At 38.3% G+C, this 18,781-nt stretch overlaps 1 long non-coding RNA gene across 1 annotated transcript in view; it reads left to right on the plus strand.

Moving 5' to 3' along the window:
* LOC101927145 (uncharacterized) overlaps window positions 1–18,781 on the plus strand; it is an 87,617-nt gene that overhangs the window by 28,007 nt on the left and 40,829 nt on the right. The gene's annotated exons all lie outside the window — the stretch shown is intronic.

The following is an 18,781-nucleotide window of genomic DNA, read 5'->3' on the forward strand; positions in this document are numbered from 1 at the left end:
CCCTCAAACATTGGACTCCAAGCTCTTCAGCTTTGGGACTTCAACTGGCTTCCTTGCTCCTCGGCTTACAGATGGCCTATTGTGGGACCCTGTGATCGTGTGAGTTAATATGCCTTAATAAACTCACCTTTATACATACATCAATCCTATTAGTTCTGTCCCTCTAGAGAACTGTGACTAATACAGATTTTGGTACCAGGAGTGGTTCTAGAGGAAAAGAATATTAAAAATGGAGTTCTTTTGTTGGTTTTCAGGTTTCTGGAGTTGGCTTCTTAAAGTGATTAGCCATAAAAATGCTAAGGACTCTAATTCTAATAGTATGGAGAACAGACAGTCCTTGGTGTGAACAATTTAGAGAGTTATTATGCAAAATAAATGCATTTGATACTCTTGATTCACCGCTCATGAAAGGCAAGGAGTTTAGTGACTCAATACCTAATACCTTTGACCATATGTGGAGAACCAAGGAACATAATGAAGTTGGTTGGTTGCTCCTAAGTTCACTGGACAGAGTGATGAAAAAAAACGAACTCAGGGATTCTAACTAACTCCTGGCTTCAGAAGCAGATACTGAGCCTCAAATCTGCTAAGATTGCCCTGAGTGAGTCTTATCTCCTGCAGAGAAAGAGCTGAAATTGTGGAAAATCAGACACAGGCTATTACCATGTGAGTGGTTGACCTGCAACAAAAGGTGCACGCACAGCCTCGCCAGGTGTCTACTATTAAAGTGAGAGCATTGATTGGAAAACAATGGGACCTTGCAACTTGGAATGGGGATATGTGAGAGGACTTTGATGAAGCTGGGGACATTGAGCTTGTAAACTCTGATGAACCTTTTCTGCCAGAAGGAACAGCTTCCCCATCCCCAGTAGTGGTAACATCCCCTCCCCAACCCATGCTGCTATTAGCCTTTCCATCTTTGTCTGAGGAGATGAACCCTGCTCTGCCTGAGGCAAGAGTGATGGCCTCCCCTGAGGCAGTTGCTAGGCAAGATAATGTTGATTCTCCTCAGGAGCCCCCCTCCCCCCAACACCCCTGCTTGCTTCTAGACTTATAACTAAAGTTTTGGCAGGCCCCTAGAGGTGAAGTTCAGAGTGTGACCCACAAGGAGGTGCACTACACTCGAAAAGAACTCCTTGAGTTTTCCAATCTATATAAATAGAAATCTGGAGAACAGATATGGGAATGAATATTAAGGATATGAGAAATGGTAGAAGGAACATACAGTTGGATCGGGCTGAATTTATTGATTTGGGCCCATTAAGTAGGGACTCTGCAATTAATGTTGCAGCTCAGGGAGTTAATAAAGGTTCTAATGGTTAATTTGCTTCATTAGCTGAAATATGGATTAAAAGATGGCTCACTGTGAGAGAACTGGAAATGCCTGATTTCCTCCCTTGGTTTAATGTAGAGAAAGGGATTCAAAGGCTTAGGGAGATTGGGATGCTGGAGTGGATTAGTCACTTTAGGCCTACTCATCCCAGCTGGGAAAGTCCAGAAGATGTACCTTTTACCAATGCTTTGGAAAACAGATTTGTGAAGGCAGCACCTGCGTCTTTGAAGAGTTCTGTATCTGTTGCTTTTCTCCGGATACCATATCTAACAGTGGGAACCATAGTCACTCAACAACAAAATTTAAATGCAATGGGGATAATTGGAACCCAAGGTGGCAGGAGCCAAGTGGTGGCACTCATCCATCAAAGGCACAGTGGGCATAGCTACCATCATGGACAACAGAGGCAAAGCAGCAATCGGGATAGATTGATTTGTGTAGAGCTCTGGCATTGGCTAGTTAATCACAGTGATCCTAGAAGTGAAATTGATAGGAAACTTACTGCATTCCTACTTAATTTAAATAAGCAGAAAACTTCCAGGCCGAATGGACAAAAGACTAATTTGAATTATAAAAACAGAGCATCATGGCCCCTCAATTAATTTTCAGACTAGAGCCAGTTTACAGAACCCTTTGCATGAAGGGGAGGCCAGGTCCCCTTGAGGAAGGACCCCACTACACTACCAACAATTTATGCTGTTAATCTTTCTCCCATCCTTCCCCAAAGGGACCTTTGGCCTTTCACCAGGGTAACTGTGCATGGGGGAAAGGAAATATTCAGACATTTCAGGGATTATTGGACACTGGCTCTGAGCAGACATTGATTCCAGGGGACCCAAAACATCACTGTGGTCCTCCAGTTAAGGTAGGGGGTTACGGAGGTCAGGTGATTAATGGAGTTCTAGCTCAGGTTGAACTTACAGTGGGCCCAGTGGGTTCTGGGACTCATCCTGTGGTTATTTCCCCTGTGCCAGAATGCAAACTTGACATAGACATACTTAGCAGCTGGCAGAACCCCCACATTAGCTCCCTGACTTGTAGGGTGAGGGCTATTATGGTGGGAAAGGCCAAATGGAAGCCATTAGAGCTGCCTCTACCTAGAAAAATAGTAAATCAAAAACAATATCGCATCCTTGGAGGGATTGTGGAGATTAGTGACACCATCAAGGACTTGAAAGACACAGGGGTGGTGAACCCCACCACATCCCCATTCAACTCTCCTATTTTTCCTGTGCTGAAGACATGGATCTTGGAGAATGACAGTGTATTATTGTAAGCTTAACCAAGTGGTGACTCCAGTTGCAGCTGCTGTACCAGATGTGGTTTCATTGCTTAAGCAAATTAACACATTTCTTGGTACCTGATATGCAGCCCTTTATTTGTCAAATGCCTTTTTCTCCATTCCTGTCTGTAAGGCTCACCAGAAGCAGTTTGCCTTCAGCTGGCAAGGCCAGCAATATAGCTTTGCTGTCCTGCCTCAGGGGTATATCAACTCTTTGGCTTTGTGTCATAGTCTTGTTCAGAGAGACCTTGATCTATTTGCCCTTCCACAAGATATCACACTGGTCCATTACATTGAGGACTAAACTCTGATTTTTTTTTAACTTGCCCAAATTCCTATCTAAGCTATCTGGTGAGTCATGCCCTACAAATCATACATTCTCATCAGATGGGTTTTATTTAACCCTATATATCGTAACTTTCCAACCTGACTCTGGCATAACATTACTAGACAAAGAAGAAAATCAAAATATTTTACCCCCAAAACACATTTCTTTGATATATTTTGAAGTAGCCCTGGAAAGCTGTTCTTTGTTGGGGGAAATTTGCATATGTAAAGAATCTCTATTAACATAGCTAGATTTTTTTCTTCCAGACTCTCTCAATCCTAAAGAAATTAACTAAAATCTGAATAGGAAACATTTGTCATCTGTTGTCTCGAAGGGCAGCCAGTATAAGGCTTCAAAATAACCTTAGTCTCCACAATCTTTTATCTTAACCTGAACATTCCCTTTCTATCAATCCCAGGTCTTTAGACACAAACAACCAATTGTCCAGCAGAAAATATTTAAATTCACCTATAGCCTGGAAGCCCCCACTTTGATTTGTCTTGCCTTTCTGGACCAAACCAATGTATTTCTTAAATGTGTTTGATTGATGTCTCATGCCTCTGTTAAATGTATGAAACCAAGCTGTGCCCCGACCACCTTGGTAACATGTTCTCAGGACCTCCTGAGTGCTGTATCATGAGCCATGGCCACTCGTATTTGGCTCAGAATAAATCTCTTCAAATATTTTACAGAGTTCAACTCTTTTCATTGACAACATTATGACATTATGCTGATTGGATCCAGTGAGTCATAAGTAGCAAACACACTGGGCTCATGCTCATAGAATTCATCTTACCATGTTCCCCATCATCCTGAAGAAGCTGGATTGATAGAACTGTGGAATGGCCTTTTGAAGTCACAATGATAATGCCAGCTAGGTAACAATACTTTGCAGAGCTGGGGCAAAGTTCTCCAGAATGTCGTGTATGCTCTGAAGCAGTGTCCAACACATGGTGCTGTTTCTCCCATAGCCAGGATTCACAGGTCCAGAAATCAAGGGGTGGAAGTGGAAGTGGCACCACTCACCATCACCCCTAGTGACCCACTAGCAAAATTTTTGCTTCCTGTTCCTGTGACATTATGTTCTGCTGGCCTAGAGGTCTTAGTTCCAGAGGGAGGAATGCTGCCACCTGGAGACACAATAACGATTTCATTAAACTGGGAGTTAAGATTGCCACCTGGACACTTTGGGCTCCTCCTACCTTAAAGTCAACAGGCTAAGAGGGGGTAACTGTGTTGACTGGGGTGATTGACCTGGACTATCAAGATGAAATCAGTATACTACTCCACAATGGAGGTAAGTAAGAGTATGCATAGAATACAGGAGATCCATTAGGGCGTCTCTTAGAATCACCATGCCCTGTGATTAAGGTCAATGGGAAGCTACAACAGCCCAGTCCAAGCAGGACTACAAAATGGCCCAGATCTGTCAAAAATGAAGATTTCGGTCACTCCATCAGGAAAAAAACCCCATGACCTACTGAGGTGCTTGCTGAAGGCAGAGGGAATACAGAATGGGTAGTAGAAGAAGATAGTCACTAATACCAGCTACGAACACATGACCAGTTGCAGAAATGAGGACTGTAATTGTCATGAGTATTTCCTTATTCTTTTGTTAAAAACATGTTTGTGCATGTATACACTTGTACTAGAAAATTTCTTCATTTTATTTCCTTTTTTCCTTTATCATGTGACATAAGATTTATTGACTTCATATCAGCGTTTAAGTGTTGTTAATTTTGTGTAATAGCATTTGGGTTGTGGATTGGTGCATTTCTGGTTGTATTTTGTTAGGTGTAATTATGACCTTATTATTGTCTTTATTTGAAGATTACATATGATTTCAGGAAATGTGTATGAATTCAAGTTGACAAGGGGTGAACTTGTGATGGTTAATACTGAGTGTCAACTTGATTGGACTGAAGGATGCATAGTATTGTTCCTGGGTGTGTCTGTAAGGGTATTGACAAAGGAGATTAACATTTGAGTCAGTGGACTGGGAAAGGCAGACTCACCCTTAATCTGGGTGGGCACAATCTAATCATCGGCCAACACAGCTAGAATAAAAGCAGACAGAAGATCATGAAAAGACTACACTGGCCTAGCCTCCCAGCCTACATCTTTCTCTGGTGCTGGATGCTTCTTGCCCTCAAACATCGGACTCCAAGTTCTTCAGCTTTGGGACTTGGACTGGCTTCCTTGCTCTTCAGCTTGGAGATGGCTTACTGTGGGACCTTGTGATCGTGGGAATTAATACTCTTTAATAAACTCCCCTTTATATATACATCAATTCTATTAATTGTTCTGTTAATAGTTCTGTCCCTCTAGAGAACCCTAATACAATAATTCTTTTTTTTGTTTGTTTCTTTTTTTAATTTTTTATTTTATTATACTTTAAGTTTTAGGGTACATGTGCACAACATGCAGGTTTGTTACACATGTATACATGTGCCATGTTGGTGTGCTGCACCCATTAACCCGTCATTTAACATTAGGTATCCCTAATGCTATCCCTCCCCCCTCCCCCCACCCACAACAGGCCCCGGTGTGTGATGTTCCCCTTCCTGTGTCCATGTGTTCTCATTGTTAAATTCCCACCTATGAGTGAGAACATGTGGTGTTTTGTTTTTTGTCCTTGCAATAGTTTGCTGAGAATGATGGTTTCCAGCTTCATCTGTGTCCCTACAAAGGACGTGAACTCATCATTTTTTATGGCTGCATAGTATTCCATGGTGCATATGTGCCACATTTTCTTAATCCAGTCTATCATTGTTGGACTTTTGGCTTGGTTCCAAGTCTTTGCTATTGTGAATAGTGCCGCAATAAACATATGTGTGCATGTGCCTTTATAGCAGCATGATTTATATATACCCAGTGGTGGGATGGCTGGGTCAAATGGTATTTCTAGTTCTAGATCCCTGAGGAATCACCACACTGACTTCCACAGTGGTTGAACTAGTTTACAGTCCTACCAACAGTGTAAAAGTGTTCCTATTTCTCCACATCCTGTTGTTTCCTGACTTTTTAATGATTGCCATTCTAACTGGTGTGAAATGGTATCTCACTGTGGTTTTGATTTGCATTTCTCTGATGGCCAGTGATGATGAGCATTTTTTCATGTGTCTGTTGGCTGCATAAATGTCTTCTTTTGAGAAGTGTCTGTTCATATCCTTCGCCCACTTGTTGATGGGGTTGTTTGTTTTTTTCTTGTAAATTTATTGCAGTTTATTGTAGATTCTGGATATTAGCCCTTTGTCAGATGAGTAGATTGCAAAAATTTTCTCCCATTCTGTAGGTTGCCTGTTCACTCTGATGGTAGTTTCTTTTGCTGTGCAGAAGCTCTTTAGTTTAATTAGATCCCATTTGTCAATTTTGGCTTTTGTTGCCATTGCTTTTGGTGTTTTAGACATGAAGTCCCTGCCCATGCCTATGTCCTGAATGGTATTGCCTAGGTTTTCTTCTAGGGTTTTTATGGTTTTACGTCTAACATTTAAGTCTTGAATCCATCTCGAATTAATCTTTTTTTAAATGAAATATTCCTTTTTTTTCTCAGTGCCATAGATAATAGATGGGTGGACTGTAACAGTACCTAGTTTTCAGCTGAAGCATTTTAATCTCCATCATTTCCACTATTAAAAGAACTAAATCATGCCTGCTTAATACGTCGTGTGTGTTCGATACTATTTAGGTTATATAATAGTATAGCTCATTTGAAACTTAGTGATTCTCAGAAAAATCTGAGTATTGCTTATGTTACTAAGAGTTTGTCATCTGGGGTCAATACTTATCATGCCATATTGCTGTGTCCCCTATCTCCCATTGGAGATGAGAAAACTCTGACTTTTAGTGTCAGACTGTCTGGAAATCACAATGTGAAATTATCTTCTAAACTAATTCAGCTAAATCACATTTAATATCAGATTTTAGTGACTTTCTCATGACTGTTTATCAACTCCCAAATGACTCTTTAATTAATTGTTTCTCCTTTACTGGCTCATTTTCTGTCAGATCCCTTTCCTTAGAGTGTTGTTTTATCCCTGTGTGGCAGAAAGACTGTCTGAGATTGTGCTGTTATTAAATGTAGTCTGGCATAATTTAAGCACATTACCTTGATGATGGTGATGTCACTCAGGTACTTGGCCTACAAGGAGCTAGTACAATTTCACTTATTTCATTTTAATGGATCCCCTTGGTTTTGAGCCTATAAACTAAAATACCATTGCAGTACCCTCCCTCCAGCAATCTCAAACTTAATTATTCCACTCCAGGAAGCTGTCTGATGGCCCTGCAGAGACCTGTTTTTGCACTAAAACGCAATCCCTTATTGTGTGACAAAATTACTTTTGTTTCATGTTCTTTTCTTTATTTATTTACAAACAGCATGGAAAAGCACTTCTCAGCACAACTTAATAGGTGATTACCACAAATTTGATTTTGAGATTTAGATTGAATAGTTGTTAAAGTTTTCTTTGTATTCTTTCCTTTGTAATCATGATGACTTCTTAAATACTATTCCAAGTACTGGGCATTGTGGGTAATGTGGCATAAATTGCCAAGATAGCTGACTCAAATCTTTTCCCCTACTTAGTTTTGATATTATTTATTAAGTTTCATAGCTTGGATGACACCTCTTATAAGCCCATCTCTACCAATATCTTTTTTGCTGCTTTGAGCAAATTTAGTTTTCTAAGCTAAAATTTCTAAGTGGTTTTGCAGAAAGCAGAAAAGACAGAGACACATTGCAGAAAAAGGTGTGGAAAGATTAGAGATTCATAGATGTTGCCATTTGCAGTACAAAGTTATCTATGACAATGGTCAGTAATATATTTCATAAATGATCAAAAGTTTTCACTTACAATTTCAACATTTTCACAATTGTATAATAACCAAGAAATACTTAGTTTTGTTCATAGTCAAAAAGAAGGTTGAATTGAGAGCCAGAAACTCTGTAGTATTTTGCAAGGGACATATTTGTCTCTAGTCATCACTTTGGTCTATGGGGACTAATAGGAAACGAACTTCGTGCTTCTGTCACATTTTTTGAAGACAAAGGGACAGCCCATGGATGTGCTGTATTTTCTATTAATAACATGTTCTTTCTCTTCCTAGTTTCCTAGGCTTTGAAAAAAATGGTGAAGAGAGAGAGAAAAGAGTAAGAGGGACTGGCATACTTACACTTTATGTGTGCATGCAGTTTTTAATTTTGTGCTTTTCAACCCTCTCTCATCAGTGCAAGAAATTAAATGCATGAGAATTAATATGCTCAAGTCAATAGGTGAAGCAATAAGCTATAACGGAAGAGAAAGGGCTTCCATCATGCACAAGCTTTATAGACATTTAATTCCCTATGTGGACAGGAGGTTTACTTATCTGCACAAGAGCTTCACACAAAACAAGAATTAGATTCTCTTCATTTTGAGTTTGCAATCCTACTTCATACAACAACTGTGGAATTGAGAAAGAAAAATAAATGCAGAGATAGACAATATTTGGAAAAGGAGTCAGAATGAAACTGAATTACACTTGTTTATTTTGAGTTTGGGAGAATGTGGAGAAAAACAGATTGAATTAACACACACAGAAACCACAAACACTTTTTTCAAAAACTCATTTTAGTTTATCTTCCCTGAACAAACTGAGCAATATTTAGTGAAGCTCTGTCTTAGTCCCTGTGACCACTTTTAAATTACAGGATGGTCAGAGGAGGATTGGTGAGCACCTGGAAGATTGACAAGTCACTTCCGGCAGAGCAGGCAGATGTGAGTTTCACTTAATCTTTTGTCTCAAAAATGAAAGGTTCCCCATAAAATGAGTTACTATATTTTGCAGGCACATTGACAGAGATACAGATTTTCATAGAAGTTATTTGGTAAGTCTTAGAGATAAACAAACACTAATATTAAGAACTCATAAAAAATGTGAATTTAAATATTCTTCCTAAGATCTATTATCAAAGATTTTAAGACTGAAGGCTAATATATCATAACATAAAACCTATATACTGTTACCACACAACTGAGGCTCATAGTTTCTTATTCAAAGAGAGCTAATAGGTTAAAATGGGACAATAGTCCTGAATTAATTTTGAAAATGTTTAGAATGTTATCAATAAACCTGCAGCATTGATTTTTATTTTGATCACAATACATTTCTTTTTTTGCTACCCTTACAAAGATAGTATTTTTCATGTTCAACAAAACAAATATTACATATTTTTTAAAAGTGTCTTTGGGCTGGGCACGGTGGCTCACGCCTGTAATCCTTTGGGAGGCCGCGGCAGGCAGATCATGAGGTCAGGAGTTCGAGACCAGCCTGACCAACATGGTAAAACCCTGTCTCTACTAAAAATACAAACATTAGCCAGGCGTGGTGGCATGTGCCTGTAATCCTAGTTACTTAGGAGGCTGAGGCAGGAGAATCGCTTGAACCTGGGAGATGGAGATTGCAGTGAGCCAAGATCGGGCCACTGCACTCCAGCCTGGGCAACAGAGCGAGACGCTGTCTCAAAAAAAAAATTAAAAAAAAAATAAAGTGTCTTTCTATTGTGAGGTAGATTTATCCAACAAATACTAATTAATGGTACTTTGTGTTGTATGGTTAGGTTTGTTTTAATCTATCAAATAAAAGAATTTTAGGCAGGGTGCATACAGATTTTGTAGTTCCTAAAGCTTATAAAAATGTGGAAGCTTTCTAAAAGGAATAAAATACTAAATTACAAACATACAACTACTGGGGCTACTCCTAGGACCTTGGCATGGGTGTGATTTAGTGAGGGCCTTGAAGTTTAAGCTTCTAAATTAGCTTCATAGTTAATCCTTCCCTGTTCTCATGTAACCCTATAAAGAGCATAATTCTTTTATCCTTTGAATCGAAAGCAAATGGCCTCAACCTTAAAAAACAAAGAGAAAATAATATACTGTCCTTTGCTTTTCAATACCAGGCTGAACATGATGTTTCTAAATGTTCTAGCATCAAATGTGATCAACATGCCTTCCCCTGTCTCCTTCGTGGTATTTTTATAAAGACACAGTGTTTGAAGGACATTAATCTAAATGACGGGTCACAGGAAATGAATGTGATAACAACAGGAAGTGTATTATGGAGATATGGTTCAATACAAGCAAGGTAAGATTCTGTAACTAGAAATATTAGGAGATAGTCTGGATCCCAGACCTATAAAACCATGAGTGAACCATAAAGCATTAGAACAGGGCAAGTATTCATATACTAGATGAGGCTGGGTTTTGGTAACTGTATATAAAACACATTTATTAAGCGTAAAACCTATTGGCCAAGCATTATGCTAGCCTTTGAAGATACACATATGAATGAAACCTGCCCTCAGGAAATTAAAAGTCTTATGGGAGGTAGCCTCTTCAACTGATAGCAATGAGATAACTAATTTTTGAATTATAAAAAGCCTGTATAAATTATGAAAAGTACCTTGAATGATTATGATTCATTTACTGCAATAACTGAAATCATGTTACTCTTCCACTCTCCCTGCAATGTATCCTCTTAATTCAGATGCCTCTAAGGTCAATGTAATCCAATCTCTATCAGTTTTTCACAGATGCTGGAATTTTGGATAGCCCTGGGAGGGTGTGGCTGGGGCAGAACTCACTCTGCATGGTAAAATTAGTGGTCTGATGTTAGAATGTGAGATTTCAAGGACATAGTATAAAACCAATCATTTCACTGGTCATGATCCCTTCATTATGGATAGGATGGGGTATCTTGCTCCAATGAACTTAGGAAAGAGGAGGTCCCTGGATTCCTACTTCATATGAGACAACTTGTTTCCTAGCAGTCACCCTACAGTCTCTAGAATGAAAATGCCTTCATAGCATTTTGTGCTCCTGGTAGCTTAGGATAACACCAGTGACCTCCATGTGATTAGATGCAGACTTCATCCATCATCTACATTTGAAATATATGATCACCCTCTTCTCTTTAAAACACTTTCTTCTCCTGACTTCCAGAACAGAATTATATCTTGTTTCTCCTCTACCTCACGGGCTGTTACTTTTCAGTCTGTTCTGCTGGTTCTACTTTCTCTAATGTTTCCAAGTTGGAGTGCTCAGGGCTTAATCTTAAGGCTTTAATCCTACCAATCTAGGCACCCATCTCCAGTGATCTCATCAGGACACATGGCTTCAAATAACATCAATATTTCTGATGATTCCAAGTTTATGCCTGTGGCCTGAACCATTTCTACAAACCCCAGACATGTATGTCAAATTTCCATGCAACATGTCCACTTAGATTTTTCAAATTGATAACAACAAAAATTGAGTTCCTGATTTCTCTTCTCATACTTACTTCCCTCTGCTTCCTCAATCTCCCCTCACAGTAACAGTCAATTCTGTTATTCACACTGCTCAGCCCAAAACCTTGACATAGTCAAGGTTTCCCACCCTACATCCAAATCAATAGCAAATTCTATCATATCTATTTTTGAAAGACAATAGAAAATCTCACTAACTCTTACCACTTTCACTGAAACCATTCTCATCCAAACACCAGCATTTCTTACTTGGATTTCTGCAGTAGCCTCATACATATCACCCTTGTCTTATTACAGGTTAGTCTCATCCAACCAGGGAGTTCTTTTTAACACATCAGATTATGTCACTCCCCTACAAAGCCTTCTAGTGGTGATCCATCTCCACAAAGCAAAAATATGAAGTTCTCATCCAGTCTAATGATCTGGATTCCGTGGCATTTTTGTGATCTAATACTGCCCCTCAGTTTCTTGAATATGCAAAACATGTTCCCATCTCAGGGCCTTGGCGCTTACTGTTTTCATTGTGCTCTTTACCAAGACATTTGCACAGCTTATCCCTCACCCAATTCTCAACCACCACCACCTCAGAGAGGAGACAACACAACTCCCTGAAATTCTCTATCTACTTTACCTTGCTTGATTTGTATTAAGTTACCATCACTTAACATAGTTGCTATATTTTTTATGTCTTTATTGTCAGTCCTTCCTCATTGTTCTGTGAGCTCTTTTAGGGAAGAGACTTTGCTTTTCTCCATCCTCTTTTATGAACCTAAAAGAGCTTCACATAATATGAATACTTGATGATATTGATTAAATAAATAAATAATGTAAGCCCATTGAGAAGCTGGACTCATTCCACGCTACTGCATCACTGATACCCATAGGGAAGAAGAGTTGTTGTTCATGGTGCCATGTGATAGAGTTTTCACTTCTCCTAAATATGAGAAATAAATGCATTTGTCCCTGTTCATTCCAGGCACCATTAGAACCAAAGCACTCTAGATTATCAATCAACTCCTTGATTTACTTCTGCTTACTTCTCTGCACACTCGTTAACCTTGCCCAGTTTCTTTCTATTGCTAATCTCTGCTTTATCAATCTTTTCCTCTTGGACTTATAGTCTGTCATCAGCAAAAACCCCTATATTCTGACCCTCTTCCCTAAGCCTGCCCTTCACACTCTTATTCCAATGCAAACTGGCTATGTCTCATTGACCTAACTTTCTAGCCACTTTCTTGAGGGAAATCTTTTTTTTTCTCTCTTTTCCTCTCCTTCTCTCTAACATCCCCATATACAACAATATCTGAGGTGAGAACAGACATTATCCTTGCTTTATACTTTTTTTGTTTTCAAAATATTTCTCCTCCCTGTGCATACAAAATTTTCCCCACCTTTAAAGTCATAATTAGGCTCTGTCTCCTGCAACATCTCTTTGTAGCAGTTATCTATAAACCTCCATTCATTTCACTCCCTTTTTCAGGATGACTTCAGCGTATCACCCAATCTCTTATTTTCTACCTGCTTCCCTTTCCCCTTTTGATTACTTAAACAATTCTACTGCACTTTCCAGTATGTTTTATTTTCCTCCATCAACAAAATGGCTATTTCAGACATTCTTCTTTCTTTTCAGATTTCCTCATAAGCAGAGGAGCTGCTGCAGTTGTGAGCTTTACATCTGCATTAACAAGGAGTATCCCCTTTATCAGGAAGCTAAAAGCTTCTCAAAAAAACCCCAGCAGGCTGCTGTTTCTCTTTGGCCATATCTGCGGCAAATAGCTATTCCTTGCTTTAAGGAAATTAGAAAAAGTAAAAGTTTAGCTTTTCCAGCCTTTATATGAGGAGATAGCAAGGGAAAAGAGAGCAGGAATTATCTGTAGGGTTAGCCACAAGAATGCCCAACACAATTGTTCATCATCTACATTACAAGCAGGAAGTAAAGGCCACCACACATCTTTTTTGAACAACCTTATAGCCTGCAGCTAGTCTCTATTCTTGACCTACCACAATCCATGTTCCATGAGGCCACAGTGACCTTTGTAAAACATGCATCCAATTTGTCATTTCTCTACTAAACCCTCCAATGGTTCCAATTACATTTAGGATAAAACCTATATTCCTTATAATGGTTTGCATAGCCCTGTCTATTCTGTGACTTTTATTTCTTACCACTCTCCAACTTGCTCTCCCTGCTTCATCAACTTAGGCTTCTTTATGTTTCTAAAGCACACCAAGATAACTCTTGTCTTGTTCCTTCTACCTGGAATGAATGTCTCTTTGATCTTCTCTTATCTCGATCCTTTTGTGATTTAGATGCTGGTTTAAATTTTCCTCCTTAGACAGGATTTCCTTGAATCCTCTATCTTAAGTAACTACCTTTTCATTATTGTGCTTTTAAGTTTTTTAACACAGAATTTATTTGGAGTTCTAAGAATTTGTTTTTTGTTCTGGTGTGTATCTGCAGTTTAACAGGGATTATCTATAGGGTTAGTCACAAGAATGTATTTTCAGGTCCTAGAGAAGCATAGGCATCAATAGTAGGTATCAATAAATGTGTTAAATGAATAGCAAATGTACCAGTGTGCTAAACAATTAAATATGTCACTATTAGCCTCTTTTAAAAAAAACCTTGAAAAGTATGTATTAGTATTTTTCTATTTTTCAGATAGGAAAATTGAAGCATTAAGAGAAATTAGACATGTTCACAGTTACACTGTTTGGTTCTCTAGGATTTATCAGTGGATCATCTGACTTGGACAACCCCTATACTTCCCACTGAATTGTCTTAATATTTATGTTGAAAAGCAATTGATCTTACATGTTTGAGTGTATTTCTGGACTTTATTCTGTCTCATTGTTATGTTTTTTTTTCTGTCTTTATGCCCATTCCATGCTGTTGTTGACAAAAAGAGTCAAACTCTATAAAATATTTTAAGAGATTTATTCTGAGCCAAATATGAGTGACCATGGCCGGTGACACAGCCCTCAGGAGGTCCTGAGAACATGTGCCCAAGTTGGTCAGGGTGTACAGCTTGGTTTTATATATTTTAGGGAGGCATGAGATATCAATCAAATACATTTAAGAAATACATTGGTTTGGTTCAGAAAGGCGGGACAACTGAAAGCAGCAGGAGTGGGGGTGTGTGGGGTGTGGGGGGCCTGAGGGGGTGGGGAGGTGGGTTTCTGGCTATAGGTAAATGTAAAGATTTAAACATTTTCTGGCTGACAATTGGTTGAGTTTGCCTAAAGACTTGGCATCCACAGAAAGAAAATGTTCAGGTTAAGATAAAAGATTGTGGAGACCAAAGTTATTTTAAAGTCTTATAGTGGCTGTCCTTAGAGACAGCAGATGACAAATGTTTCCGATTCAGATCTTTAAAAGGTGTTAGACTCTTAGTCCATCACTTTAGGATTGGGAGAGTCTGGAAGAAAAATATCTAGCCATGTTAATAGAGATTCTTTACAGATGCAAATTCTCCCCCACAAAGGACAGCTTTGCAGGGCCATTTCAAAATACGTCAAAGAAACATGTTTTGGGGTAAAATATTTTGACTTTCTTCTTTGTCACATAATGTTATGCCAGAGTCAGATTGGAAAATAAGTCACAATACATAGGGTTAAATAAAATGCATCTGATGAGAATTTGTGGTTTGTAGGGCATGACTCCCCAGACCCCTTAGGAATTGGGGCAAGATAAAAAAAAATCAGAGCTTAGTCCTCACATTTTGATTACTTTTGGCTTTTAGTAAGTTTTGAAATCAGGTACTATAAATCCTCCAACTTAGTTTTTCAGTTCTGAGTTCTTTGGCTTTTCGTGTAAATTTTAGCTTACCAATTTCTAAAACAACAGCAACAATGACAAATATGTTTTCTTTTTAACATTACATGTTGTCATTCAATGTAATTCATTGAATTAATTTAATTCATTTAATTGCAAAGATTTAATTACAAAGATGATGAGAGTGAGTGGCTAAGAGAGGAGAAAATAAGCTCCATTCTCTCTTGAGACTTTAATAATCCATTTATTTATTTCTCTTCTGGAAGGCAACTTGTGATGATGTCTTAGGAAACTAGAGGAAAAAGAGTAGCAATGCAGTTAATTCTTCATCTTTTTAATTTATCATTTATAATAATAAAGAGCTTGTTTATTGGGAATATTTTTAAAGTCTACATGAGAAGCATAAGGCCATGGACAACATTTCTTATTCAAATGTTACAGGTAATGAAGAAGGTTGTAAACGGAATTATGAGGACAAAGGTATCTTTGCAGCAGTTCAGAGTAGAGTTTAGAAGACCAAAGCAGTATTAGATAGTGTCAGTAAAAAATTTAAAAATCAGTCATTCTCCAACTGTAAAAAATGTCAATTAATCTCAGGATAGAGATAAGACACAGTTAAAAGCTATTGAGATGAAGGAGGAAAATAATTATAAATTTGTGCAGTGTTGTTTTAAATCTCTAAATTTTATTTTCACTAACTATCAGGTAGACATACATTTTTGATGGTAAATCAATAGTTACATTATTACTTTGCTTTTAGAAATTGCTTTCTTTCTAGAAAAAGAATACATTTTATTGCTGTAAAAATGGAATTATTATCCCCATCAACCTAATGTCAATTTCTCATTACAAGCTATGTAGGAGAAGTTGATAGTGCCACAGTGCCTTTGAGATTCAGTTTTACGTTAGAGATCATAACTATCCAATAGAAAAAAAATTGTAGTTTTGAGATCTCTAAATTCACACTATATCAGATAATTTAATTTTATTTCAAATTGAACGCATTCTTTGCTACTTTTCAGCATATGTTATGTAGAAAATTGGCCACATTAGTGAGTAGATAATCAAAAACTTGAATTAACTGGTAGTTAGTGTAGGAAGGTAAAGTAGCAGGTGACACTTTACAGGGAATATGTACTATTATCTAACTATCTTCTTTATAAAATTGCTCATAATCTTAAGGGATGGTTGAAAAAATTGGAAAAATAGTTCCAACATCCTGATATATAAAACTAAGTGTTGGAATTCAGACATATTTCTAGGAATATGTTTCTAAAAAATCCCCAAAGAAAGGGGGCAATTTTTTGGAGAATGTAGATGATGGGATGCAGAGTATATTTTTGGCCCTGTGACTTTTCTGTCTTCTACAGTGTGTATAAAGAAGAGCCATACTAATACTAATTTTTTTTTTTTTTTTTAGACCGAGTTTCATTCTGTCTCCCAGGCTGGAGTGCAGTGGTGCAATCTTGGCTCACTGCAATCTCTGCCTCCTAGATTCAAGAGATTCTCCTGTCTCAGCCTCCCAACTAGCTAGGACTACAGGTGCGTGCCACCATGCCCAGCTAAGTTTTTGTATTTTTTTTAGTAGAGATAGGGTTTCACCATGTTGGCCAGGGTAGTGTAGAACTCCAGACCTCAAGTGATCCACCGACCTCAGCCTCCCGCAGTCCTGGGATTACAGGTGCGAGTCATGGTGCCTGTGTATTTCCTTTTTAACTTTAACAGATTTTATTTGAATAGATAACATGTTTACATATTTCTGTGATGGCCTGGTTTGCCTGTCTGGTTTACAAATACCAATAAAAGAGGATACAAACAAATGGAAGAACATTCCATGCTCATAGATAGGAAGAATCAATATTGTGAAAATGGCCATACTGCCCAAGGTAATTTACAGATTCAATGCCATCCCCATCAAGCTACCAATGACTTTCTTCACAGAATTGGAAAAAACTACTTTAAAGTTCATATGGAACCAAAAAAAAGCCCGCATTCCCAAGTCAATCCTAAGCCAAAAGAACAAAGCTGGGGCATCACGCTACCTGACTTCAAATATATTACAAGGCTACAGTAACCAAAACAGCATGGTACTGGTACCAAAACAGAGATATAGATCAATGGAACAGAACAGAGCCCTCAGAAGTAATGTCACACATCTACAACCATCTGATCTTTTACAAACCTGACAAAAACAAGAAATAGGGAAAGGATTCCCTATTTAACAAATCGTGCTGGGAAAACTGGCTAGCCATATGTAGAAAGCTGAAACTGGATCCCTTCCTTACACCTTATACAAAAATTAATTCAAGATGGATTAAACACTTAAATGTTAGACATAAAACCATAAAAACCCTAGAAGAAAACCTAGGTAATACCATTCAGGACATAGGCATGGGCAAGGACTTCATGTCTAAAACACCAAAAGCAATGGCAACAAAAGCCAAAATTGACAAATGGCATCTAATTAAACTAAAGAGCTTCTGCACAGCAAAAGAAACTACCACCAGAGTGAACAGTCAACCTACAGAATGGGAGAAAATTTTTCAATCTACTCATCTGACAAAGGGCTAATATCCAGAATCTACAAAAACTCAAACACATTTACAAGAAAAAAACAAACAACCCCATCAACAAGTGGGCGAAGGATATGAACAGACACTTCTCAAAAGAAGACATTTATGCAGCCAACAGACACATGAAAAAATGCTCATCATCACTGGCCATCAGAGAAATGCAAATCAAAATGACAATGAGATACCATCTCACACCAGTTAGAATGGCGATTATTACACTGTTGCTGGGACTGTAAACTAGTTCAACCATTCTGGAAGTCAGTGTGGTGATTCCTTAGGGATCTAGAACTAGAAATACCATTTGACCCAGCCATCCATTACTGGGTATATACCCAAAGGATTATAAGTAATACTGCTATAAAGACACATGCACAAGTATGTTTATTGTGGCACTATTCACAATAGCAAAGACTTGGAACCAACCTGAATGTCCATCAATGATAGATTGGATTAAGAATATGTGAAAAAAAAAAAAAAGAATATGTGGCACATATACACCATGGAATACTATGCAGCCATAAAAAAGGATGAGTTCATGTCCTTTGCAGGGACATAGATGAAGCTGGAAATCATCATTCTCAGCAAACTATCGCAAGGACAAAAAAACCAAACACCGCATGTTCTCACTCATAGGTGGGAATTGAACAATGAGAACACATGGACACAGGAAGGGGAACATCACACACCGGGGCCTGTGGTGGGGTGGGGGGAGCGGGGAGGGATAGCATTAGGAGATATACCTAATGTAAATGATGAGTTAATGGGTGCAGCACACCAACATGGCACGCGTATACATATGTAACAAACCTGCACATTGTGCACATGTACCCTAGAACTTAAAGTATAATAAAAAAAAATTAAAAAAACAAAACAAACAAACAAAAAAACAACAAATACCCAGGGATGTGCATTTAGAAGCTGCCAAGACATTAAGCACCCAAGAGGTTCTTTTTGGTCTGTGTCTGTGCTTCTCAGGTGGAGCTGATGGCTGTACTTTCTTGAATTCAGCAGTTGCATTTCCAGCATGTGAGGAATGTTTCTTACTGCTTTCAGGGATGGGCTTAATCTGAGAGTAACAAAACTCTTATTTCTTCCCCCTGGGGCCTTTAACACTTCAACATGTGGGACTGGGAATCATCTTTTTTAGGAAGTGAGAGAAATTGCAAGTATATCTAAACATTTTTGAGTAATACAATCTGCGAA

Source organism: Homo sapiens, chromosome 4 (assembly GCF_000001405.40).
Source record: "Homo sapiens chromosome 4, GRCh38.p14 Primary Assembly".
NCBI lineage: Eukaryota > Metazoa > Chordata > Mammalia > Primates > Hominidae > Homo > Homo sapiens.